At 49.3% G+C, this 24,077-nt stretch overlaps 1 protein-coding gene across 4 annotated transcripts in view, besides 6 other annotated features; it reads right to left on the reverse strand.

Moving 5' to 3' along the window:
• LMO1 (LIM domain only 1) overlaps positions 1-16,579 on the reverse strand; it is a 44,479-nt gene extending 27,900 nt beyond the window's left edge. For 2 of the 4 annotated variants that reach the window (NR_073006.2, NM_002315.3), the window contains exon 1: positions 11,130-11,670. Coding sequence is in view for 2 of the 4 variants with exons in the window: in NM_002315.3 (NP_002306.1) it covers positions 11,130-11,154 (25 nt within the window). In the remaining 2 variants the exon portion in view is untranslated. Of the gene's footprint in view, positions 1-10,549; positions 10,643-11,129; positions 11,671-16,218 lie in introns of those variants that run through there. The other 2 variants (NM_001270428.2, XM_011520099.3) reach the window with 2 other exon arrangements.
• Positions 8,124-8,625: an enhancer, noted in NCBI's record as "H3K4me1 hESC enhancer chr11:8281879-8282380 (GRCh37/hg19 assembly coordinates)". NCBI's record gives its function as "activates a minimal SCP1, AML or CMV promoter by ChIP-STARR-seq in primed H9 embryonic stem cells {active_cell/tissue: H9 hESC(primed)}" and the evidence as "EXISTENCE:reporter gene assay evidence [ECO:0000049][PMID:30033119]".
• Positions 9,556-10,095: an enhancer, noted in NCBI's record as "H3K4me1 hESC enhancer chr11:8283311-8283850 (GRCh37/hg19 assembly coordinates)". NCBI's record gives its function as "activates a minimal SCP1, AML or CMV promoter by ChIP-STARR-seq in naive H9 embryonic stem cells {active_cell/tissue: H9 hESC(naive)}" and the evidence as "EXISTENCE:reporter gene assay evidence [ECO:0000049][PMID:30033119]".
• Positions 10,792-10,881: a silencer, noted in NCBI's record as "silent region_3113". NCBI's record gives its function as "represses an Ori minimal core promoter by ATAC-STARR-seq in GM12878 lymphoblastoid cells {active_cell/tissue: GM12878}" and the evidence as "EXISTENCE:reporter gene assay evidence [ECO:0000049][PMID:35858748]".
• Positions 15,235-15,819: an enhancer, noted in NCBI's record as "H3K27ac-H3K4me1 hESC enhancer chr11:8288990-8289574 (GRCh37/hg19 assembly coordinates)". NCBI's record gives its function as "activates a minimal SCP1, AML or CMV promoter by ChIP-STARR-seq in naive H9 embryonic stem cells {active_cell/tissue: H9 hESC(naive)}" and the evidence as "EXISTENCE:reporter gene assay evidence [ECO:0000049][PMID:30033119]".
• Positions 15,820-16,403: an enhancer, noted in NCBI's record as "H3K27ac-H3K4me1 hESC enhancer chr11:8289575-8290158 (GRCh37/hg19 assembly coordinates)". NCBI's record gives its function as "activates a minimal SCP1, AML or CMV promoter by ChIP-STARR-seq in naive H9 embryonic stem cells {active_cell/tissue: H9 hESC(naive)}" and the evidence as "EXISTENCE:reporter gene assay evidence [ECO:0000049][PMID:30033119]".
• Positions 21,201-21,401: a silencer, noted in NCBI's record as "peak1191 fragment used in MPRA reporter construct". NCBI's record gives its function as "represses an SCP1 promoter by STARR-seq MPRAs in K562 erythroleukemia cells {active_cell/tissue: K562}" and the evidence as "EXISTENCE:reporter gene assay evidence [ECO:0000049][PMID:32103011]".

Genomic DNA, 24,077 nt, shown 5'->3' on the forward strand with positions numbered 1-24,077 from the left:
TGGACACAACCTAGTCCTCTGCAAAATGGGGCTAGTATTTGTCCTCTTAGCCTCCCAAGGGTGTTGTGAAGATGAAATGAAAGACTCCGAGACATCTGTGCCCTTCCCTGGCATGAGGTGACCCAGGAGTCCTCCTGGGAATGGAGCTGGTGAGGCATTCTCTCTGGAGGCAGCTGCTATTCCAGAGGCTGGCCTCTCATGGCAGGCCACCTTCTAAGATGGTCCCCAGTGATCCTGCCTCCTGGCACTCACACCCTTGTATCATCTGCCCCACTTCCTTGAGTGTGGGCTGGACCTAGTGGCTTGCTCCCAAGGAAGGAAACACAGCAAAGGTGATGGAATGTCACATCTGTGATTCATAGACAGACTTCCTTCTTGTAAGCAGACACTGTCTTTCAATGGCTTTCAGGAAGCAGGCAGCCACGTTGGAGAGGCCCATACGGCATGGCCACCATGGCCAGCAAGGCGTGGAGGCCCTCAGTCCAGCAGCCCGTGAGGAACCGCATTCTGCCAGCCACCAAATGACTGAGCTTGAAACAACCCCACATGAATCTTGAGATGAACCCACAGCCCCAGGTGACACACCTTGATCACAGTCTGAGAGAAATCCCGGAGCAGAGAACCAAGTAAAGATTACTGGTCCACAGCAACGAGAGAATAAGTAGGTATTGTTTCTAGCTGCTAATTTTGGAATGTGTGTTGGAATGTGTTACGCAGCTGTAGATAATTAATACACTGCCACAGTGGCATATATACTCTGCAGAGAAGGGTCCTCTCCTCAGGCCATTGAGAGGGGGCCCTGCAGACAGCTCTCTGCCTGACAACCCGTGTTGTTGTGAACTTCCTCCTAGAGCACAGGCCTTGATGTGGAGTGTTTCGAGGAGAGGAGCCCAGAGGACAGAGCCCTGTCTCCAACTGCCCTACCCAGGCCCCCTGCCCTCAGCTGGGCAGACGAGGAAAGTGGGAGAAGCTGCCTCACGTCCTCAAGGAGCCACAGCCGTGGATCCTTTCCAAAGAGCAATCCTCCCAAAGCTGGGAACTCCAGGCCTGTCTGGAGCAGGGCAAGCTTTCCAAAGCACATCCACTTCCCCTGTCTCCCCTGCTCTCACCAGTACCCCAGGGAGGACAGAGAAATGGCACCAGTCATCTACAAGACTCTCAGAAGCTTTGCCTGTTCAAGTTTCAACAGACCTAAAAGGTAAACGTGATCATACCCATTTTACTACTTGGAATTATTATTAGAATTTACTCATCAGAATGACTTAGCAGCAGAGGCAGGATTTGAACCCGTGTGACTCAAAGCCCACTTCCTATTTGTTTTACAAATAGGAAAACTGAGAATCAGAGAGTTTGAACATTCTGATGGCACCCGCAGGTAGCCCCACACAGTCCTTCCTGGATACTGTCGTCAGGATTGGGGTTTTTAAAGATCGAGGGGAGAGGACACGCAGGATGGAGCAGGACTGTAGGAGCCCAGGCCAGCACTGCTCCCACTTGTCTGGCAAGAGTGGGTCTCCCTCCTGCTCTCTATCAAGTCACCGTGCCAACCAGCAAAGTTGAATTATTAAAACTCCTTTCTGGGGTACCCCACGAATTTTTCCCCGCCGAGACTCAGAGAAGAGGGGCAGCCACTCCCGCCACACAATATTAAAATGTCAGGAGTTTAAGGCCTGCGTTGGTTGAGTCATAAGTTATCAGCACCCAGTGAGGGCCGACAGAATGCCTCCCCTAAATTATTAAGCAGAATGCGTCAGACTGTAATATTTTGCTAAACCAAAGTACAGACACAGACAAAGATGTCATTTCAATATTTGAAACCAGCAAGTTTAATTTAAAATAAGAGCAAACCAATAAGCTCAGAACATAGCGGCGTATGAGAGGAAAATTATACTGTGAGAGGAAAAAAAAGTGGAAGGACTTAAGAAATTTATAAAAGTAATCTCCAAGTGGAAATTAGAAATCAAGGCCTAGAAACAGAATAACACAAAAGAAATATTACTGTCCACTTTCTAAATCAATATAACACTGCTCCACGCCGGAATTACCATGGTAACTCAAGTAAAAAGAATCAAGCAATTCTTATTATTTCAAAATAAAATCACAGCCTGAAGCCTGGGTTTTATTACAACCACTGATAGATCGCTGGCTTGTATTTATCTGAAATATTGCTTTTCAATCAGCTGGTTTATGAATGTACACAGGCCTCTCACCAGCCCACTTACCACCCCATTTTGAGGCTAGGGGCCAACCAATGAATTGATTCTCACCTGGCTGCATCTGCATATATGCTCAGGTCTAAGTCAGCTCAGGGAACACAGAACATCACATCCTTTCAAGCCGTCTAGTGGCTTTGCAGGACAGAGAGGAAAACCTGAAAGAGGCAACGGGGACTGACCTGATTATGGTCCCTCCCCACCGAGGCTGGCCCTGGGAGGAATGGAGCTGGGCTCCCATGGCAGCCCCACTCAAACTGCCCACAGCAACCTTCCTCCCTCCCCAAGTCATCTTCTCACAGGTTCGTCACCCTTCCTTGAACTCTGAGTGTCTTTCTCTCCATCCCCACGTCTGACAGCTGGAAAAGGGAGCAGACAGAGCAGAGAGAGTGAGCGCACTGACTCTGCAGTCAGCCTGCTTGGGTTCACAGCCCAGCCCTGGCATTCTTGAGCTGTGGGAGCTGGAACCAATTACTCAATCTCTTTGTACAATAATTTTCTCATCTGTAAAATGAGGGTAATAGTAGCTTCTTCCTAAGGTTCTTATGGGTATTAAATGAGATTATACATGGAAGATGCTTGGTGGACTGATTACAAAAATGGCCCCAATTCTCTACCCTTCCCCACAGCCACACCATTTGTTATATGACTTTTCACCTCCTACCTTCAAGAGCAGAATCTGCTTCTCCACCCTTTGAACTTGGGCTGGCCTTGTGATTTATTTTGGCCGATAGAATGCAGCAGAAGCGACAAGATCCCAGTGCCAAACCTTGGCCTCAAGAAGCCTTGTGTAGGCTGGGTGTGGTGGTGCGCAGTGGCACAAGCTTGTAATCCCAGCACTTTGGGAGGCTGAGGCAGGTGGATCGCTTGACCCCAGGAGTTCAAGACCAGTCTGGGCAACGTAATGAAATCTCATCTCTACAAAAAATACGAAAATTAGCTAGGCATGGTGATATGGACCTATAGTCTCAGCTTGGGAGACTGAAGAGGGAGGATCACTTGAGCCCAAGAGGTCAAGGCTGCAGGAAGCTGTGATTGTGCCACTGCACTCCAGCCTGGGCAACAGAGTGAGATGTCTCAAAAAAGAGAAGGCTTTTGTGCTTCCACACCTTCCGGACCGGTCTCTGCCATAAGAACAAGTCGGACAAGCCTTCTGGCTAATGAGGGCCATGCAGTCTTGTCACGCCCAGCATCCAACTGATCAGCCATCCTCCATCCTCCAGATGTGAGTGAGCCCAGCTGAGACCAGAAAAACTGCTCAGCCAAGCCCTGCTTAAATCACTGACCCACAGATTTTTGAGTTAAATAAATGCTTATTGTGTTAAGGCTCTACATTTTAGGGTAACTGATTACACAGCAATAACTAATTGATACATACAGATAGCACAATGCCGCACTTTTTTTTTTTTTTTTTTTTTTTTTGAGACGGAGTCTCGCTCTGTCGCCCAGGCTGGAGTGCAGTGGCGGGATCTCGGCTCACTGCAAGCTCCACCTCCTGGGTTCACGCCATTCTCCTGCCTCAGCCTCCTGAGTAGCTGGGACTACAGGCGCCCGCCACCACGCCCGGCTAATTTTTTGTATTTTTGGTAGAGACGGGGTTTCACCGTGTTAGCCAGGATGGTCTCAATCTCCTGACCTCGTGATCCTCCCGCCTCGGCCTCCCAAAGTGCTGGGATTATAGGCGTGAGCCACCGCGCCCGGCCAATGCTGCACTTTTAAGTACGGGTTCAGTATAATGATAGCTATAGTGTTTTATGACTCCTAAAGACTGAGAGGCCAAAGCCAAAAGATGATACTGTAACTGTACAGAGAGCAATGTCAATTCATACAAGCATGAAACTTTCTGGTTTATCAAGTGTGTGCTTGGACATAAAGTGCCAGTTAGGTGTTTCACCCTTTGTAGGGATGAGAAAACTGAGGCCCAGTGCGCTGAAGTCACACAGCAGTCAGCTGGGACAAAACCCAGGTTTTCTGAATCATGCTAGCGGACTACACCTGTAGACAGGAGGCCACTCAAGAAAGCCCAGTTGACCTCCAGGGGAAGGGACAGGAGGGAGGAGCTAGTGACCTGAGCCCATGGGCCTTCACACTGGGCAGCTGCCTCTGCGACCTGGACCAATCTGCTCACTCCTCTCACACCACCTGCTTTTAATTTGCCCCCAGTTGTATCAGCTACTGTGAACTCCTGCCTTGGACAGAACACAAAACGAACACACTCCCACCAGTAGCGAACAAGCTTGTTGCTAGGTTTGGTGGATGTGTCTCTGAGCATGGCCTGGAATGGCCTGGGAGAAGCCTCAGCCAACTAAAGGAGAAAGGGCATGCCAGGCAAGGAGGACATAGGAACAAGGGAATAGAGGCAAATGCTGAGTCTTCATGGAACCCAAAACCAGAGCAGACATACTAAACCTGCATAGTTTAGTGTGATGGTCAAAGCAGCAGTAGGCCTCAGGCAGGATGCCAGGGTAGCAGAGGTTGGGTCAGACTGGTTGTAATGAGCACCACAAGAAAGATAGCAGGTGAGATGAGAATGGTGGTAGCAGAGGAGAAAAGGGTAGGTCCAGAGTCCCAGATGAATGCAATCCAGTGGTGTGCTGATGCATGCTTAACGACCAAGTCTTTGGGAAAATGCCCTGATTTGTAGTGTTTGCCAACATCCATGGTACAAATACTCCCATTGTGGCTGACTTCAAGCTACCAATGCAGTGTCTCTGAACTCAGAGTTGGGAACAGATGTACAGAATCTCTTGCAAGCCAGGACAAGTTGACTCCACTGGTGTAGTCCAATCCCAAATATGGGCCTGCTGGGAAAACTCACTCTAGCAGCACCACAAAGAGCTAAGCCTGGAAATGGGAGGACACCTTGCATGTCTCAGTGTCCTCCAACTCCAGACAGGACAGGCAAGCAAGATGGGACACATGCCATAGGAACCTCTGGGGCTTCTCCACTTCCAAAGGCCCAGGACAGGTGAGTGTCCCTCAGCACCTTTCACCTTACATCTGAGGATAGAACTGCATCTTCTGGGCTGTCAGTAGGCTGGCAAGGGGCATAACTGGGACACCCAAGCACGTGGTCCGTGGTCCCAGTCCAGCTGATGTTTGCTGTAATCAGAGTTTTCTACCACCTAGCCTCATCACGCCTCAGGGCTAGGGCAGAAGGCATGGCAAAAAGATGCTGATGCTCTAGGCTCCAATTCCCCATGGAACCCTAGGCAGCCCTTTTGCCCTGTTTAAACCTCAACCTTCCCCCTATAAATGGAGGAACTTGCAAAGAGTGGTCCTAGAGACCTCTTCCCAAGGTGCCACCTGTCTTGGTGATCTGGACGTGGGCGAGTAGTGAGGTCAGCCTGCCTCCCAGGCAGCAATGATTAAGGACCATGATAAATAAACTGGCAGAGTGAGGGTGCAGGCCCAGTGCTTGCCAGCAAACAAAGCACTGGACTGGACACAGAGTTATTTCAGATCATACTGTAACTGAGCATGGAGCAATGTTGCTCCACACAGCCATGAGGCTTTCTGGCTTATCAAATGTGTACATGGACAGTACCTCACTTAATCCTGAATACAATCCTGCCAATTAGATATGGCTGTTCTCACTGTAGAGACGAGAAGGTAGAGAGGCAAAGGTTTGGAAGCAAAGCAACCTCTACACTGGGTGGACATGGAACACAAAATCACAGTGGACATATTGGACCTACATAGCTTAGTGCAATGATAGAGGTGGCAACAAGTCAAACAGTGCCTGGCACACTGGGACACCTCTACCTTCTGCCCTAACATCTTCCAATCTTCTCAATGTCCCTGATCAGGGCTTTCTGGGAGGCCCTCTGGACCCTGGAGATGGATCCAACAACAGCCTTGGCCTCCCTGCTATATGGGGGCACAGCTCTGGAGGGAGCTCCTAACTCCCTGGGCCTGCATCTGCTCTAGACCCCAACGTGGCTCAAGGCACTCACCCCCAGCCTTCCCTAGCTGCACCATCACGGCTCTGTCTTCTGCTCAGACAGCCCAGCCCGTCTAGCCATGGCCACTTCCCAACTCTGGCAGCTTCGCCCTGGGCCATGGCTGAACCTCGTGTTTCCTTTGCCCATGACCACAGGGAGTCAACTGCCAGTGCTCACTGGCAATCATCCATCTGTTCCAAGGTTGAGAGACCAAAATAGACCTCCTCTTGGTCCTGCCCACAAATAGAGCCTGCTGTGAAGTTCCTTAAATGGAAGCTTATGGGGCAGCTGCCTGGTCTGACTCTGAGACACAGGGTGACACAGGGTGGGGGTAAGGAATCAATTACTCGGGAGGGATGAGAAGCGGGTCCCAGCTCTAGGGAAACATACATTTTCATGTGCTAAAGGCATCTTTGAGGACATGTTCAGAAACAGACAGCAAGAGAAAAAGGCAGTTCCCACAGCCACAGAGGCCAAGTGAGTGGTCATGCCAGCACTGAGCCCCGGCATCCAAAGGGTGAAGCTTTTAGGCGAGCAGCGGCCAGTGATCTCAGCTTCCCCCAGTCCTAATGCTCCTGAAAGGCTCTCTCCTGCTCCCTGTAATTGGGCATCAGTAGTTAATGCAGTATTGACTGCATTACACGCTCCCGTGCCTCCCCTCGCTAATGCCAATTGCATCACCTTGTACAGTCACTGGCTTGCTTAGCCAATAGCCGTTAAAAGCAATCCAAATCATGAATCATATGGGAAACTTTTAGCAAGACACCGCCATCCAAGGAGACAATTTACAGTTGAGTTAATCTGGGTACATTAGCGAGACATGGATTCCGGACGACAGACCAATTTATGTTGTTTCCCTGTCCCCCCTTAGTGCTGCTCTGTGTGAGCAAATGAATGGAAGAGCAGGGAACAGAGAGAAGCACCTGCTTCTTCACCCAAGGCTCGGGTGTGTGTGTGGGGTTGGGGGGCGGGTTACCCATCTTTACAGACACTCTGCCTGGCTAAGTTTGGGCAGGAAGGGGAAGCGGCTGTATGTGCAGCTCAGGATGTGATGCCTCATTCCCAGCAGAAAGGAGGGCTGCCGCTGGGGCTGGTCATGGTAGATGCAGATGGTAACCCTCCCGCTCCCCTGCTTCTAGGCACTGGGCAAGTGCACAATTTGGTCCCCACCCTGCCAGACTCACAAGGCCTTTACCAGGCCTCAGCAGGCAGCAGTGTCCACTTGGCTCCGCCTTCCTGCTGATGGGCTGGGGTCTCTGGCATGGAACAGCATCAGGGCCTGCCTCCCTCTCCAGGGTTGGGACGGTCATGAGCACACTCTGCCAGGAGAGGCCCCTGGGATTCTCTGTGGTCTAGAACATGAGTGTCTATCCTAGGAAATCCTACTGGTGGCCCAGCAAGGGCTGGTTGGTACCCAAGCATAGCCATGCGCCGGCTCTGGTGGATTAACTGAGTCGGCTGTGGAATTTGTGCTCCTAGCAGTCATTAACAATTGAAGACTCCGCTGTCTGGTCCTCCTCAGTCCAGCTTCACTCTCTTGGGCATTTTTACTTATTAAAAATGCCCTAGGAATCATGTCTGGTGTTTAGTTCCACAACCCGCCTGCTGCTTCCTGTGGTCACCCCCACCTTCCTGCTGGGCCTTTGCAAAGGCCGTTTATACCCAGCCCTGCCCTTCTCCTGTGTGCACCTGAGAGCATCCCAGCATCCCCAGCTGGATGCCCCAGCCTCCTCTCCTGCCCAGTCCCCCACAGACCAAAGCTCTCACTGTTCTTGGGCCCTCTCAGACTCTCTGCTGTCTGCTCCTACTCAAAGGCCTCTTCTCGAACAGCCCAGGGGCTCATTTGACTTGGGTAGCATTCAGAGCTGTAGCTCTCCTTGCTCCCTTGGGATTTTAACCCTCCCAAAAAGCTCACCACCTGGTGCCAGCCCAAGCCGCAGGTGCCAGGGGAAGAAGGGCTGTTTCTCCGGGAAAGTTGGAGCTCAGTTCCATTTCGCTGACAGGCAGACCCAGCAGCATGTAGAAAGCCCGGACCCTGAGTTCCAGTAAAGTGGAGATGGCTAGGCCAAGAGCAAGCATCCAAATGAAAGCAATTAATCTTAAAACCCGAAGTTTAACCGTTTGCAAAACAGATCTTTCCGTCTCTGTGGTGACCCTTCACTGCTCGACCTAATGGATTACTTTATTAATAATGCACTGTGCTTAAAAGCAAAAAAAAATTTTTTTTTTCTGACGATTCAATACTTCAGAAAGTCTCTTAAACCCGTTGCTACGGCAAAACGATTGATATTTTATTATCTTTCAGAAGTGCAACATGAAAGCCCTGCAGCCCAGCAGAGCGGGAGCTTTGGTCCTCGGCAGCTGGCAGACCCGACTTCAACCAGAGGAGCCCCAGCCTCTCCAGACAAGATGCTGTCAGGTGGAGAAAAGGCGTTGGGGGTGGTTAATAGCAGCCCTGAGTCCCTGCTGCAGCCAGACAAAAGGTGCCGTATGCAGGGAACGCACCCTTTGGGGGAGCCGGGGGGTGGGGGAATGCTGCCACCCAGTTCAGATAGCCACCTGCTGAGAGGGCAGAAGCGTTCAAGAAGAAGATAGGTGGTTGGTTTGGAGGAGCAGATGAGTGCATCCAGAACCTTTCTCCCTCCCCCAATTGAAGATGCCATCTTCAAGGTTTCCTGGAACTATGGGAGGCCAGACTCCTCTTAATAGGGAGTGGAGTGCAGATGCATGAGCAGAAACGTCGCTTTTGAAAGACAGCTATGGGCTGGGTAGGACAAGAATAGGTGGCTGCTTAGGACACCAGTGGATGTGCTTGTGCTGTAATGGACCCCAGAGCCCAGCAGCTCCATGGTAGTGGGCACCATATTGTTTAGGCTGGACAGGCTGGGGATGGAGGGGCATCTGGAGCTCTCTTCCACAGATCTAGCAGAAACCAGAAGAAACATCTGCCCAGGGTGCTTGAGGTACACTGCAATTTGGAGGCAGGGAGCTGGCTAAAATGACCTCCAGAAATCCATTCTCACTCAAGGCTCATCTGAAACCCTTTGTATTATCTCAGAGCCAGAGGCATCATGTGGTGCCTGGGCAGAGCAAGATCCTGGGTGCAGGTAGGGGGTGTCATCTTGTTGGCATGAGACCAATCTCCCTGGCCTGAGGCCTCTCACGTACAGAGCCCGAGTCTTCTGGATTCCTGGCTTGGGCCTGGGGAGCCAAGTATGCCAAATAACCTCTGCTAAAGATGAACCTTGCATGCTCCCCATAGTGACAGTATCTCCAGGTACCAAGGAAGTACCCTCTCCCCTGGCTTCTCCAAGCCCTTCATTTTTACCAAGAGGGAAGGTGAACATGGGGAGTTCGTGATGAAAGGCACCAAATCAAGGTCTCTTCCCTCCCTGTCTGGCCCAACCCCAGACCCCTTCTTCTCCTTTTCATTCTATATGAAGTTCTCCGATGGCCTACATGGGGCTCCAGGGAAGGGGTCCGTGAATAGAGAAGACATATTGAAGATGATGTCCCACCCCAGCTAGCCCAGAAGCACTGAGGTTCCCCCCATCCTCTCTCTTCCTACACACATACTGAGAGCCACAGGTCCTCCTAGATGCCACCCCCAGGCCAGATACTTCAAATTCCCCCTCCCTGCTGGATGTCTCAGAAGGCGGTAGCAGCCTGGGGGCATCGGCACCTGGCAGCGGCAATGCGAACATCCTGTGTGACCCTGAGCAAGTCACTTAGCTTTGCATTTTCACCAACTGGCCACATCAATAACAACGCTGCCCCAGGGACAGAGGGCTCAGGCCCAGCAGAGACTCCTGAACGGAAGGGCAGAGGATGGCCACTACAGTCACTTTAAGAGGATTCCCGCTGACTCAAAGCAAACCTACCCTTTCGGTACCTCACCAATGGCAGAACGCCGGCGGCAGCGTGGGCACCAACAGTCACATACAAATGCCCCTGCAACACCAACACACAGGCCTCACCTACAGGGCAGGAGGTCCTGGGACAGCCAAGGTACTGCCTCTCTCCTTACCCTGGGGACTCATCTTAGGGCACCCACTTGGCTTTCCCCCCAAGGGGGCTGGGATCCCCAGCCTTCTAGGACACTTAACTGCAGGGCACTCCCTGCCAGTAAGGCTTTGGGGTCTATGGGACCACCTGCTAGTGGCTTCCAGCAGCCATGGGCTCCTCTGTTCCGACCTTTCCCGTGCCCTGCAGTTTTCTAGGGCGCACTGAGGCTCGACCACGGAAGGTCCGTGCCACTCTCGCAGGCCGCTCCCGCACAAGTGCTACCGGCCGGCGGCGGGACACTTTCTTCCTCTGGGCCAAACTCCCGCCTCCGCGCTCAGAGAGACAGGGAGCTAGCGGGCCGGCACAAGAGGCGGCTCTCTTTCTCACCGAGTCACGCTCATGCAGATGTCCCCCGGAGGGTCCAACCCGCCTTCCCCTCGCCTGCCGGGCACCCTGGCGCTCGCGCCGTCCTCCCGCGCTCCCGCTTGCCCCGAGCTCTGGAGCCCGATTCTCCCCGAAGCCGCTGATTTGCTCGGCGCTCAGCGCCTCTCGGGTTACGCGGCGGCTGGCGCGAGGGTGATGGCTGCGGTGAGAGCAGCAGCCTCAGACACGAAATGCTCAGAGCGAACCTCCGCGGCGCGGAGATCGCAAGGGAGCCCCAGCCTCCGCGCGGCCCCGCGGCGCAGCACACGGCCAGTGCACAGCTCCTCGGCTCGCGGCCGGGACCCGGGGGGCGTGCGGCCCCGGGCGCGTGCAGCCCGGGGCTCGACCTCCTCCCCCCGCAAGTTCCGCCCGGCTGTCCCCCGGTACTTCCCCCCGCCCCAGCCCCGGCCCCCAGCGCGCCGCCCGCCCCGCAATCCCCGCACAGCCCAGCAGGTGTGCGCCCGTGTCCCCGCGTGTGTGTGCCTGCGCGCCGCGGCAGGGGGCGAGGGGGTGAGGGGCGTCGAGACCCCGGCCCGCCACCTACCGTCCTCCTTGTCCAGCACCATCATCTCGGGCGCTCCGTGTCCAGCCGCAGCTAGGCTCGGCCGGGAGAAGGGCGCCGACTCGGGGCGCGCTTTGGAGGGGCGGCCGGTCTTCGGGCAGCTAGCGGGCTCTAATTACCCGCTTGTCCGGCTCTTAACCTAGATTGCACTCAGCTAGAATTACATTCAGGAGTGAAGCACTTCGCAGATACAAAAGCAGTCTCACCTACTTTTGTGCCTCAGAATTGGAAGGAACTACGAACTGCAATTTAGAGAGAGAGGGAGAGGGAGAGAGAAGGGGGAAAAGAGGATCAGAGCCGTTTCTTTGATTCTCACCTTCTAAATGGCTCAATTTGCCCAGTATAATCTGTCTTAATGTAATTGCATTTGATAGCTCATAACCCTGTCTCTGGCAACGACACAGCTTTCAGCCTCATAAAGTGTTTTCCCCTCGGATTTAATCTGAATCTCAATCTAAAATTATATTCAAAGAGATGGGGGAATCTCGTGGCCGTCTCCCGCTGCCTTTCTCCCTCAATGTATGAGGTTTGCACTCCTGCTACTGCATAAATGCACACATTTCCTGAGGCCTCCACCCTCCCGGGTTAATGGGGAGTGGAGACGCACGGCTGTCCGGCTCCGCAGCGCCACCTGGAGGCTTCTAGGTCCTAGCTCGGTGAGCGTCTTTGCTCCGATCCCAGGGTCGTGGTCTTCAATGATTGTCTGGAGGACGCATCCCATCTGTCACTCCCAGACCCTCAGCCTTGATTTTTGTCTCTTCTTCAGAGCAATATTTCTCTGATCACATCCTTTTCCTTCCTACCAGTTCTGCCCGGGGTTTCGTGTTGCTTCCCGGATTGTTTGGCAAAGTTAACCCTCTTCAGGGCACAAACGATCCTACCGAGTCTTACAGCACTACTCCTGACCCCAGCAGCACCCCCAAAAGCATCCTGACTCCATGGAGCGGGAGAGCTTATCTCAACTTCTCTCGAAGCAAGCACAGGCATGGCCTTGAAAGCTTTTCTCATTCTACAAATATTTACTGAGCATGTATTATGTGCCAAGCACAGTTCTAAGGCACTAGGGATACAGCACTGAACAAAACAAAGATTCCTGCTGCTATTATGGAGTTGACGATTCTTGCTCTGTAACTCATAAGGCAGGAAAAGAGACAGTGCCCATCTCTTCTCCTGGACCCTGCTTCTCCCCAGAATCCTGGGGCTGATGTTCTGGCTGCCTACCCTAGGAAGGCCACCTACCCACCTACTTTTTTTCTTTTCATTCCTTTTTCTTTCTTTCTGTTTTTTCTTTTTTAAGATGGAGTCTTGCTCTGTTGCCCAGGCTGGAGTGCAGTGGTGTGATCTCGGCTCACTGCAAGCTCCGGCTCCCAGGTTCCAGCGAATCTTCTGCCTCAGCCTTCCGAGTAGCTGGGATTACAGGCACACACCACCACGCCCAGCTAATTTTTGTATTTTTTAGTAGAGACGGGGTTTTACCATATTGGCCAGGCTGGTCTCGAACTCCTGACCTCGTGATCCACCCACCTCAGCCTCCCACAGTGATGGGATTACAGGCGTGAGCTGCTGCGCCTGGCCGGAAGGCCACCTACTTTTAAATCCCAAGTCTTTTTTCTTTGCCTAGACAGTACAGAGTTCCAAGGTGGGATAGAAATAATGATTTTTCTTCAGCCCAAGGAGGGCTCCAGACAGATGTGTTGGAGGCTTGGTCCTGGCAATCACTTCTGAGGACTAGACCCAGGGAAAGAGAAACGGGCTGAAGGGCCACCAGTTGGGATTCTATCTCATCTCTGCCAATTACCAACAGTGGACCTTAGCAAGTCTCTTTCTCTATCTGGGCCTCAGTTTCCTTGGCTGTGAGGTGGGAGACCTACTCTTCCTGTATCTATGGTTGCTGTGGGGGTCAGATGAGCTAATGCATGTTAATGTGCTTTGTAAACTGTGGCACTCCAGACAATGCAGGGGGATGGGGGGAGATTATCTGGTTTGAAGGAGACCTGGAGGCTAGGTCTTACCCTTTAAGCCCTGGGAGGCCCCAGTGCTTGACAGGGATGGGGAGCAGCGGGCTGCAGCCATATTCCTCTCTGCTAGGCAGGGAAGTCAGGCTTTGAGAAAACAGAAAAGCGCTGCTTCTAATGAGATGCCTCATCTGCAGCTCAGAGGGTTTCACTTTCCCCTTCATCTTGAATACTTAATCCTAATAGTCCTTGAGTATATTTGATGTTAAATATATCATTTTGCTCAGACTCACCAGCCTCAGGACTGCGAGCTTGATCTCTCCCCTGCCACTGCCGCCAGACCCATGCCCTCAGGGTCTGAGGGAGGCTTTGGCACCGCTGCCACCGGCATATTTGGTGCCAGCCCCTCACACCCACCAGAGCTGGGGGCTAGACAGTGTAGCAAGCACAGGGCCTGACAGGCTGGCAAGGGGCAACTTCTTGCCGTAGAAACCTCTGTGCTACTGGAGGCGTTCACTCCATCGGGGCTGCATGCAGCCTTACTACTGACCTCCAGGGGCAGATTCTCCTCACTTTCAGGGGCTGGCCCTGACCCACAAACCAGGACTGGGCTAGCTGTGGCCACTCTTCCACTCTCTTGTCCACGAGTTTGTCTGAATACCAGCTCACCTCAGCCTCCAAGGTACCTAATTGGCAGCCACATGACTGGCATCCCTTTGGGGAGTCAGGGCCCTGTGCCCCAAACCCAGGGACTGGAGCAGGCCTGGGGTGCTGAGCAATGGGCTGCAGAAGCAGGTAGGGCATGCCAGCAGGGGACTGGTGCTGTGTGTGCCCACAGGTGGCTCTTTCTGCACCCCCAGCTGTGAGCATGGTGCTCCCAAACTGATCTGGAGAGGAACCTTCACAGCAAGTCTTGGAGGGTTTGGGTGGCTTGAGCTTCCAGCCAGGAAGGGGCTTGCTGGGTTGACAGAGGCAGATAGAAACATCACTCACCCCATCTGATGGCCTCTCTCCACTCACTGGGCAAGCAAGTAACTCCCACCCCCATACTCGCCCCACCCCCATGCTCACCCCACCCAAGCTGCTTCTAGGTCCAGGGACACGCCCACAGCACCAGAGTGGAATCCTCAGATCCCCTGGGGCTGGGGGAGGTAGTTTTCCCCCAACACATTCCACAGGTGATGAGCATGTACTCTCACTTCGACAAGCCAAGAGTGCTCCAAAATGCCCTCGAAATGCCTCTGGGAATGGCAGGGAGAGGACAACTATCAATCCCCAAGGTTAGTTTAAGGAGAAAGTGGGTGCTACTGGCTGTCTTACAAATATCTGGGCAGGTCCCAGCAATTTGCCCCTCCACCTGGCAGGAAAGTCCCGAGGAAGAGTTCCTGCATTAGGAGTGGGGGTGGGAGATAGTGGGACCCAGGGCCTGAGGGCCCAGGCCGACTAGATATTACAGAAGTCTTTGGTGGAGACTGTCAGATGTGCCTCAGCCAGAGGGCCTGCTCCCAACACAATGCAGCTGCCTCCAAGACGGAGTTACAAGCTAGCCACACAGGTGATGCTCAGAGAGGTATTGGGGTGACGAGGACCCCTTCTCTGTGGCCACCACAGTTGACAGGACAGAGTAAACCTACAGACTTCGCAGTGCAATCAGGATGCCTGCTGGCCATGTTCAGATGCCCTTCCCTTCCCCCTGCTTACACAAAAGCAGCCAATGCACAGGAATTTGCAACCCGCTGGAGTGAAGAAGTGCACAGTCGGCAAACTTTTCCTCTTTTGGTTTCTGGAGAGCCTGGACAGGCCTTCTTGCAAGCAGCAGTTATAGATTGTTAGGCCTTGTGGAGGCCTAAGCCAAATCTGCACCATAGCAAAGAAATCTCCCCTACCCCTGCACCACAGCCCTGAGAAGGTTTTGGGTGTGCACTGACCAACTGTCCAAGTTTGCCTTGTGACTCAAGGGTTTCCTAGGATACAGGATGTTCAGTACTAAAATTGAGATCGTCCTGAGCAAACAAGGACAATTGATCACTATAGTGAGTGGTGGTAGGATGGGTCAAGGGACTAGCTGGGCCAGAGAGGAAGGCCAGGCAGCCAGACCCTTTCCCTGCAGCCCAGAAGTTGCCTCTCAACCCCAAACCTTCCAGCCTCCTGCCCCAGCACTTCGTCCTTCAGGCACTAAGGGATTGTCCCAGCCTCGGCGGATGGTCTCTGGGTCAGCCAGAGCTGTGAGTTCTTCCAAGAGACTGGCAGTGGAAAGGGTAGGAGTTGGACCCAGGGATGGATGGAAATTTTGTGAGGTCCAAAGCTTACTGTAGTTTGGGCGTGGGGCTCTTTAAGAAAAGGACTACAAGACTACTAATACCAAATTACCACCAAGGACCTGGCAGCTGAAGGAACCTGAAGGACCCTAAACTTCATTAGCTTCAAGGTAAAACCGCCTCTAGTTGAACCTGATATTTTGGACTAGATGGCCCACCCACCTACCCCAGCCAGCGTGGCACCTCCCAACATGCCAGGCTGGGTGAACTGATGGCAGTTCCCTCCCTAGCCCTGCCAGGGGCGGAGACAATTGTCAGCCATCCCGCAGCTACGGAGTGCCAGACCGCAGAGACAGTGCTGGTTTGACGGCACCCTCACCCCTGCACCTGCAGGATCTGTGGGCACCCCCACCACCCCGCTGGGATCCGTTCCGCAGTAGGGTGCGGAAGGGGAACGTGCAGACACCCAGAGAGGCTGGGAGACTGGCTGGCAGTGGGCACTGCCGGGAAGCCCGCGGTGCGGGTCGCAGAGGCGCTCCGGATGCCCGCAAGGCGGCAAGAGTCCGTGAGAAAGTTCCCAGCCGGAGCGCGCAGGGCTGGCGGCCTCGTTGGGACCGGGAGACTTCCTAATCCCGCCGCCGCCGAAGCCCGGGCGCTGAGCCTGGCACCGCCGACCCCGGCACCGGCGCACACATCAGCCGCCGCGCTTCCGGGAAGCCACCCATCAGCCGGAGGAGGCCCGCGGGTGCTGAGGGCTCTGCCGCCGCTAGCGGGGTGGACTCCGCAGGGCCAGCGCCGCAGTCTCCGCCCCACGTCCCGCGTGCCCCCGGGCACCGGCACCGGGCGCCGGGCACCTACCGTCCTCCTGGTCCAACACCATGGTCCCGACGGCTCCAGCCGGACTAGCGCCGAGGATACGGAGGGGCGCGTGGCTCCGACTCCCGCCGCCGGCCGCCTGCGCTGCTCCCGCCGGCCCCGCGCGGGCGCCGAGTCCGGAGAGCCGCGACCGCCGACGGGGGCAGACGGACCGGAGTCCGGAGCGCAGCCCCGCGGGCAGGGAGCGCAGGAGGAGGGACTGGGGGGAAGGCGCGGGGGCGAGACGGCCAGGCCGGGATCGCGGGAGCCTCGCGAGCAGCAGCTGCCCGGGCCGGGCCGCAGCCGGAGCCTGAGCCGCGCGCGCGTCCTTCCTCCGCGCCGGCCGTACTCGCCTCAGCAGAGTGAAGGCTGCATTTCCCAGGGCCCCTCAGATTCCCCTGTTAATTAAATCAATTCATTATGCTCAGATCTGATTAGCGGCCCTTCCCCCCCCTTTGAATCAATTATTCAATACACAAACATAATTGCTTGGGCCAGAGGTGCCCGCCATTAGCTTATTTAACTCCAAGGACACTAATTACCCGCAGGGCACGGGAACTTTTCTCATTAATTCTGACAAAACACAAAAGCACAGCCAGAGTGTGTGCGTGTGAGGGGCTGTGTGTGTGTGTGTGTGTGTGTGTGTGTGTCCGCATGCCAGAGTGAGGGCTGTGTGGGGTGGTGAGCCACTGTGTGAGCTCAAGACAAGGGTGGGGGTGGGACGCGTGCGATTGCGGGTGGGTGTGTGCGGGTAGGAGTGTGGGCTCCGTGCCTGTGATTCTGAATGAGTGCGCCAGGCTGGGCGTGACTCTGGGTCTGGGGACAGTGGGCCTGGACTGGGACCCGGCACAGGAATGTGTATGAGATCGCGAGAGTGCTTCTGTGTGTGACTTTGTGAATGTGACTCCGTGGCTACCGTGGCAGGCGCCCCATCCCCTTTCTTTTTTCATTATTGCCCAGCCATTCCCCGCGGCATGCTCAGCCCCACGGGGGAAAGTGCAGATCACAGAGGAGAAATCCGAGAGGATCAGGAGGCGGTGGTGACTCTGGACCCAGGCTGGGCCACAGTGCTCTCCATCCGGTCACCTGTTCAGGCATCAACTGGGCTTTGCTCTCCCCCAGTTATAAACCCCAGGTTCCCACCACCACCACCCACTTTGCCCTCTCACTGCCCCTCTCAATACCGCCCCTACTCTCAACTTTTATCCCAAAACCCTCCCCACCCCACCCTTGTGCCCGGGAACCCCCAACTCCACCCACCCTAGACCTAGTTCTTCACCTCCTGTCTCAAGGCTGTACCGAGGGTGTGCCTGTGGTTGATCAACTTCTCCACATTTTACCTCCCAGGAAATCTATTGAGAGAACCAGTGAGAGAGCCCACAGAGGCAGGACACAGAGGGTAATTGATTCCCCCAAATTAGGTTTCTGCTTTCTAAAGACCGGCATTGTCCCTATTCTCAATGTGCACAGAGGTATTGAAGATTTCCTTTTTGTTTCCTCGGGCAATGAATGAGCTTAATCCATTTGGCTTTATAAATCAGGAAACTAATATTCGCTCCCTCCATAGCAGCTTTTTAAAAAATTTAATTGGTAAGGGAGGTGCAGTTAGTCACCTTTATACTGTCCCCAAGCCCCCACTTATCAAAACACATTCTGATTGAGGGGTAGAGAGAAGGGAGGGAGCTCATCCTGATTCCTCCCACTCTCTTCTATCCTCCCAAACAGACCCACATAGTATCTGGGAAAGTTTGTGAAATGACTGCATGAATTATATTCAATTTGGTGAAGAAAGGAGGACTGTGCAGAGAGATTCTTCAGAATGATCTCCCAAATCAGCTGCTCTCAATTCCCCAGGAGTGACTGCCTAGATGGGTGTTGGCTATTCCATGTGCTAAGGCGTCTTGTCAAAGAGCAAGTAGGGCCTGAAATTCTGCATCCTTCCACCCTCCAAGCCATGTAGCTGGCACGGACTGCACCCACCCAGAGAGGGCACCTTTTGCTACTTCGCACAAAAGCACCATACAGACTAGCGGGGCCCTGCAATTGGGCATCTCTGCTTGGCCAGAGTTCACACTCAGAGAAGCCAGCCTGAGGCATAAGCACCCAGACTCCCTGTTCCCACCATCACTTGCAGCAAGGGCCTGTGTGAGCACTTAAAAGACCAGCCTCCTGGTTTTCATAGAGAGAAAGAGAAATTTCAGAGAGTGTAAACATCATGGAGTGATCAGGGATAATGAAGCAGATGCCCCGCCCTATCTCTGCATTTATATGGGTCCCCAACTCCTGGTGAAAGACACTGAACTCAGTCCACAGCTGGGTGAATTTCCCTATCAGAAAACAGATTGTCTGAGTAAGTTAAAAATAAAATACAGCCAAATGCTGTTTACAAGAAATACTCCCAAAACAAGGTGACAAAGAGACTGAAAATAGAGCAATGGGCAAAGGTATACCAAGAAAATGCAAGCAGAGAGGGAGTAGAAACAGCAATATTAATGTCAAACAAAGCCAACTTCAAAGCTAAAGTTGAAGGGACAGATCTATCATGAGGACTGAGATCTTCAGCAGGGGCCTGCTGGCAGAGAGACAATGAGGTTCCTGAGAGGAGATCCTCATGGGTGGACTAGACTGAGAAGCAAGACCAGGAGTTTAGAGGAAGAACAGTTCCAAGTATGGTGCAAGGTGGGGCCTAACTCACCCCTGACCATCACTCTGAGAAGAAGAGGGCAGTGGTGCAAATGAGAAACTGGGTCACTAGAAGCCCTGCAGCCTGGCTATGGGAGCCCCCTCTGAAACAGCTGGTCATTAGAAGCTGAGGTGTCACCTTGCTGGGCCAAGAGGAAAAGAGCAGCTGGGATTAGCAACTTGGTGGCATTAACAGCAGCTCGGGCAAGATGGCAAGAGCATCAGGCAGCAGCTCTAATTATACAGACGGCGTCTCTTCTCATAATCCATCAACCCCCATCTCCCAACCCTGGGACTGCTAGAGAGAAAATGTCTATCCAGAACTCAAAATCTAGTGGTGTCCAGAGGGCACTTGGGTCACATGAGTAAGCATTCCTAGGTCTCACAACTATTTGGAGAGGAAGATCCTGGAGAGGAGAATTGGAACATCAGAATTTGGGGCTAATTACTGTAAAATTGTGGGATCTGGTATTTGGCATTTTTATGCCTTTATGTTCCAACCTGTCTTAGCTGCATGACTGGCATGAAGGGAAAGGCTGTGTGAGAAAGAATGGACCAGAACAATAATAGGGGAGCTGTCCCTGGTGCAACCGCCAGCTTTTCCCAATGGCGGTGGAGGTCAGTATATCAGTATGTTACACTAAACATGAAGAGAGTGAATTTCCCTATCAAAAAACAGATTGTCTGAGTAAGTTAAAAATAAAATACAGCCAAATGCTGTTTACAAGAAATACTCCCAAAACAAGGTGACAAAGAGACTGAAAATAAAGCAATGGGCAAAGATACACCAAGAAAATGCAAGCAGAGAGGGAGTAGAAACAGCAATATTAATGTCAAACAAAGCCAACTTCAAAGCTAAAAGCATAAACTGCTTGAAAATTAAGAAACATCCCATTAAATTAGTACTGGATCAAAATAAGATCAAAACAGAAATTACCAATCTAGTAATGAAAATAGAAAACACAGCATATCATACAGAACTTACGGAACACAGCTGTACTCAGAGGAAGAAATATAGCCTCATATGCTTGAAATATTTTTTAAAAAGACTGGAAGAAAATGAACTAGATATTCAATCTAAGAAATTAGAAAAGAATAAACTGAACCAAAAAAGTGGAAGAAAATTAATGAAGTCAGAAAACAATGAAATAGAAAATAAACAAGTAATAGAAAAGGTAATTAAAAGGGAAAATTAGAACCAACACTTGGTTATTTGAAAAGACTAACAAAATGGAAAAAAAACTTCCACGAAAACCTAGTTAAGAAAATAAAGCACAAATATATGATATTAGATATAAGAAAAGAGATATATCACAGGTACAGAGAAGGTTAAAAAATTATAACAATAATATGAGTAAGCCTATGAAAATAAATGTGAAAACCTGGAAGAAATGGATGACTTCGAGCAAAGTAGAAAATTATCAAAACTGAGCATAGAAGATGTTGAAATCCCAAATAGGCCAATAAACAGAATACATTTAAAAAGATATTAAAACTATGCCATTAAAATATCACAAGGCACCATATGCTCCAACAATTCTACTTCTGGAAATAAACCAAAAGTATTGAAAGCAGGTTCTTTAAGAGATATTTTTACATCCATGTCCATAGCAGCATTATTCACAATAATCAAAAGGTGGAAGCAACCCAAGTGTTCCCCAATGGGTGAATAGATAAACAAAATGTGGTAGATACATACAGAGGAATATTATTCAGCCTTTCAAAGGAAGGAATTTCTGACACATGCTACAACATGGATGAACCTTGAGGATGCTATACCAAGTGAAATAAGCCAGTCACAAAAAGACAAATATTGCTTGACTTCATTTATATGATGTACCTAGAGTAGTCAAATTCATAGGGACAAAAAGTAGAATGGTGGTTGGCAGGGGTTCAGGGGAGGGGAGAATGGGGAATTTAATGGGTATAGCATTTTCAGATTTGCAAGATAAAGAGTTCTGGAGATTGGTTACCCAACAACGTGAATGTGCTTAACACTGCTAAACTGTGCACTTAACAATGGTAAGGATGGTGAATTTTATGTTATGTGTATTTTATCACAATTAAAATAAAACCCCACAAGGCACAGATTACATTAAAATGAGTTTTGTATAACCTGAAAAACAGATGATTTTAATGTTATTTAAACTATTCCAGACAAAAGAAAAATTTGGAAAGCTTCCTAGTTTGTTTTATGAGCCAGCATTTTCTTAATCCCAAACCTTATAAAGATTGAATTTTAAAAGAAAAAAAATTCACAGAACAGCTTGAATAAGAGTGCAAAAGCTGAAATAAGATATTAGCTATCTTGACATGAAAAAAAAGTATCAAAAGAATAAAACACCATGACAAAGGAGGGTTTATTTTAACACCACAAACATGATTCAGCATAAGGAACTCTATCAGTATGAGTCACTACATCAACAAATAAAGGAACAAAATATGAGTATAGTAATATATGTCCAAAATCATTTGATAAAATTTAGCATATATTACTAACAAAATATTAAGCAAAATAGAAATAGAAGAAAACTACTTCAATTTGTTAAGACTGTTTACCAAAACCCAAAAGAAAATAAATAAATGTGACATTCTGAAACTATTTCCATAAATTGGAACTAAGACAGAATATCCATTATCATTATTATTCAACATTTTTTGAGACTTTAACTCAATAAGACAAGAAAATGAACTGCTTAAAATAAACAGCTGTTTTTTGAAAGGACAAAAATATGTTTATTTACAAATTATGCGATTATATAACCAAAAATCCAACAAAATTTAGTGTGAAAGTTACTAGAATTATTAGATAATTGAGAAGGTAGTTAAATACAAGATAAATAGATAGAAAGCTGTAGTTTTTTTCTAAATGCAATGATGTGTTAGAAATGGCAATGAAATAGAACATTTGCAATAGTGACAAAGCAAATATTTAGGAATAATTTAAAAACAACAATCATCACAAAGATAAGGGTCTTCTTTAAAGGAACTCATGAAAGCATATTGAAGGACATATAACAAGATCTGGATATATAGAAAGACAACCATATTTCTAAAAAAGAAGATATTATCATAAAAGTAAATCCTTTCAAAATTAATATATCAATTTAGTGCAATTTCTATTAGAATCCCAAATTAAAAATTTTTAGAACTGAAAAAAATTTAACTTGAAGTGCAATTAAAAAGTAAATATATGTGGCTAGTTAACAAAACATGTGAAAAGAAAGACTAATTGGATACAACTTGCATTACTAGATAATAAAGCATACTACAAAACTACCATAATCAAATAGTGTGGTGTAAGTCAGGAAGGGAGAAATAGATCACAGGAACAAAGAGACAATAAACAGTTTCAAGTACAGAAAGGAATTTAATATATGATAAATGTTGCATTTTAATTCATCAGAGAAAAATTAATAAGTGGTAGTGCCATCTGAATAGACATTTCTGCACAGGAGATATACAAATAAACCAATAGAATCTGAAAAGATGCTCAGCATCATTGGTCATTGGGAAAATGCACATCAAAACCACAGTGAGATACCAATTCACACCCACTAGGAAGCTGGAATGAAAAACTTTAGATAACGAATGTTGGCAAGAACGTGAAGAAATTGGAACCCTCAAACACTGATGGCGGAAATGTAAAATGGTGCAACCACTTTGGAAAACAGCCTGGCAGCTCCTCAAAAAGTTAAACAGAGTCACCCATAACCAGAAATTCTGCTCCTAGGTGTACACCCAAGAGAGCTGAAAACATAGGTCCACACAATAATTTGTATACTGATATTTATATCAGCATTATTCATTACAGCCAAATGGTGGGAAAAAAACCAAATGTTCGTGAACTGACAAATGGATATTATTCAGCCATAAAAAGGAATAAAGTACTGATACATGCCATAGGATGGATGAACCTTGAAAACATAATGCTAAGTGAAAGAAGCCATTCACAAAAGACTGTATTGTATGAATTCATTTATATTGAATGTCAGAATGGGCAAGTCTGTAGAGACAGAAAGTAGATGAGTCGGTGCTAGGGGCTGGGGATAGTAGGGCTGTGATAGCTAAGGTGTGCAGAGTTTCTTTTTGAGGTTATAAAAATGTTCTAAAATTGTGGAGATTTGCAAATCTGTGAATATATTAAAATGCATTGAATTGTACACTTTAAATGGTGAATTGTATGGTATGTGAATTACATCTCAGTAAAGGTGTTTCAATAAACGGTGCTGCCATAACTGGTTATTCATCTGGAAGAAACAAATAGGATCCTTACCTCCCCTAAACATAAAAATTGTGTTCCAAGTGGCTTAATATTTTAAAATAAGAATAAAACATTGAAAATATTGGAAGACATTTTATTAGAAAAATTTAATAGATTTGGATAACAACATGAATAAATTTGTTGCGGCTAACAAAGGAAAAGATAAATATACTAAATCTGATTTTCAGAACTTCTATGGCAAAAGATAGCATAAACAAAAGAAAAATACAAATGATTTCTTAGGAAAATATTTGCAAAATATGCTGTATATACAAAGAATTTCTATAAATTGTAAATAAAAGACAAAAGCCTAAAAGAAACATGGAAAAAGAGAATGAACAGGCCATTCAGAGAGGAAATATCTAAATGGTCAATAAAATGATTACCCTCATTATTCATTGGGAAAATGCAAACTAAAGCAAAATAAGTTTTCATTATTTAAATTCATTAGATTGGCAAGCAATTTTTAAAAAGTGAAATGTCCAGATCTGCTAAAATTTTGAGAAAATATGTACTCTCCTTTGCTACTGAGCAAGTAATCTGGCACGATCTATTACTTTTGGGGCAGGTAATCTGGCACTATTTATTAAACAAGTACATGCCTTTTGACTTATAAATCCTCTTTCTGGGACTCCATCCTATAAGGGGAAATCACCTATATATAAGGATCCTAATTTCGGCATTGTTTGTGGTGGCAGAAAACTGGAAACCATACGAATATCAGTGCCAATCAATGATTGAATTAATTGTCCTACAACTCTGCTGTAGAATATTATGCAACTGTTAAAAATGAGTTAGAGCAACTGACTTGCAAAGGACATCTGTGATGTTCTGTTTAGTGGGAAAAGTAGATTGCAGAGTATCAAGTAATATTATCCCATTCAAAAGAAAGCCTCTTTCTGTTAAGATGCACATG

Source organism: Homo sapiens, chromosome 11 (assembly GCF_000001405.40).
Source record: "Homo sapiens chromosome 11, GRCh38.p14 Primary Assembly".
Taxonomy (NCBI): Eukaryota; Metazoa; Chordata; class Mammalia; order Primates; family Hominidae; genus Homo; species Homo sapiens.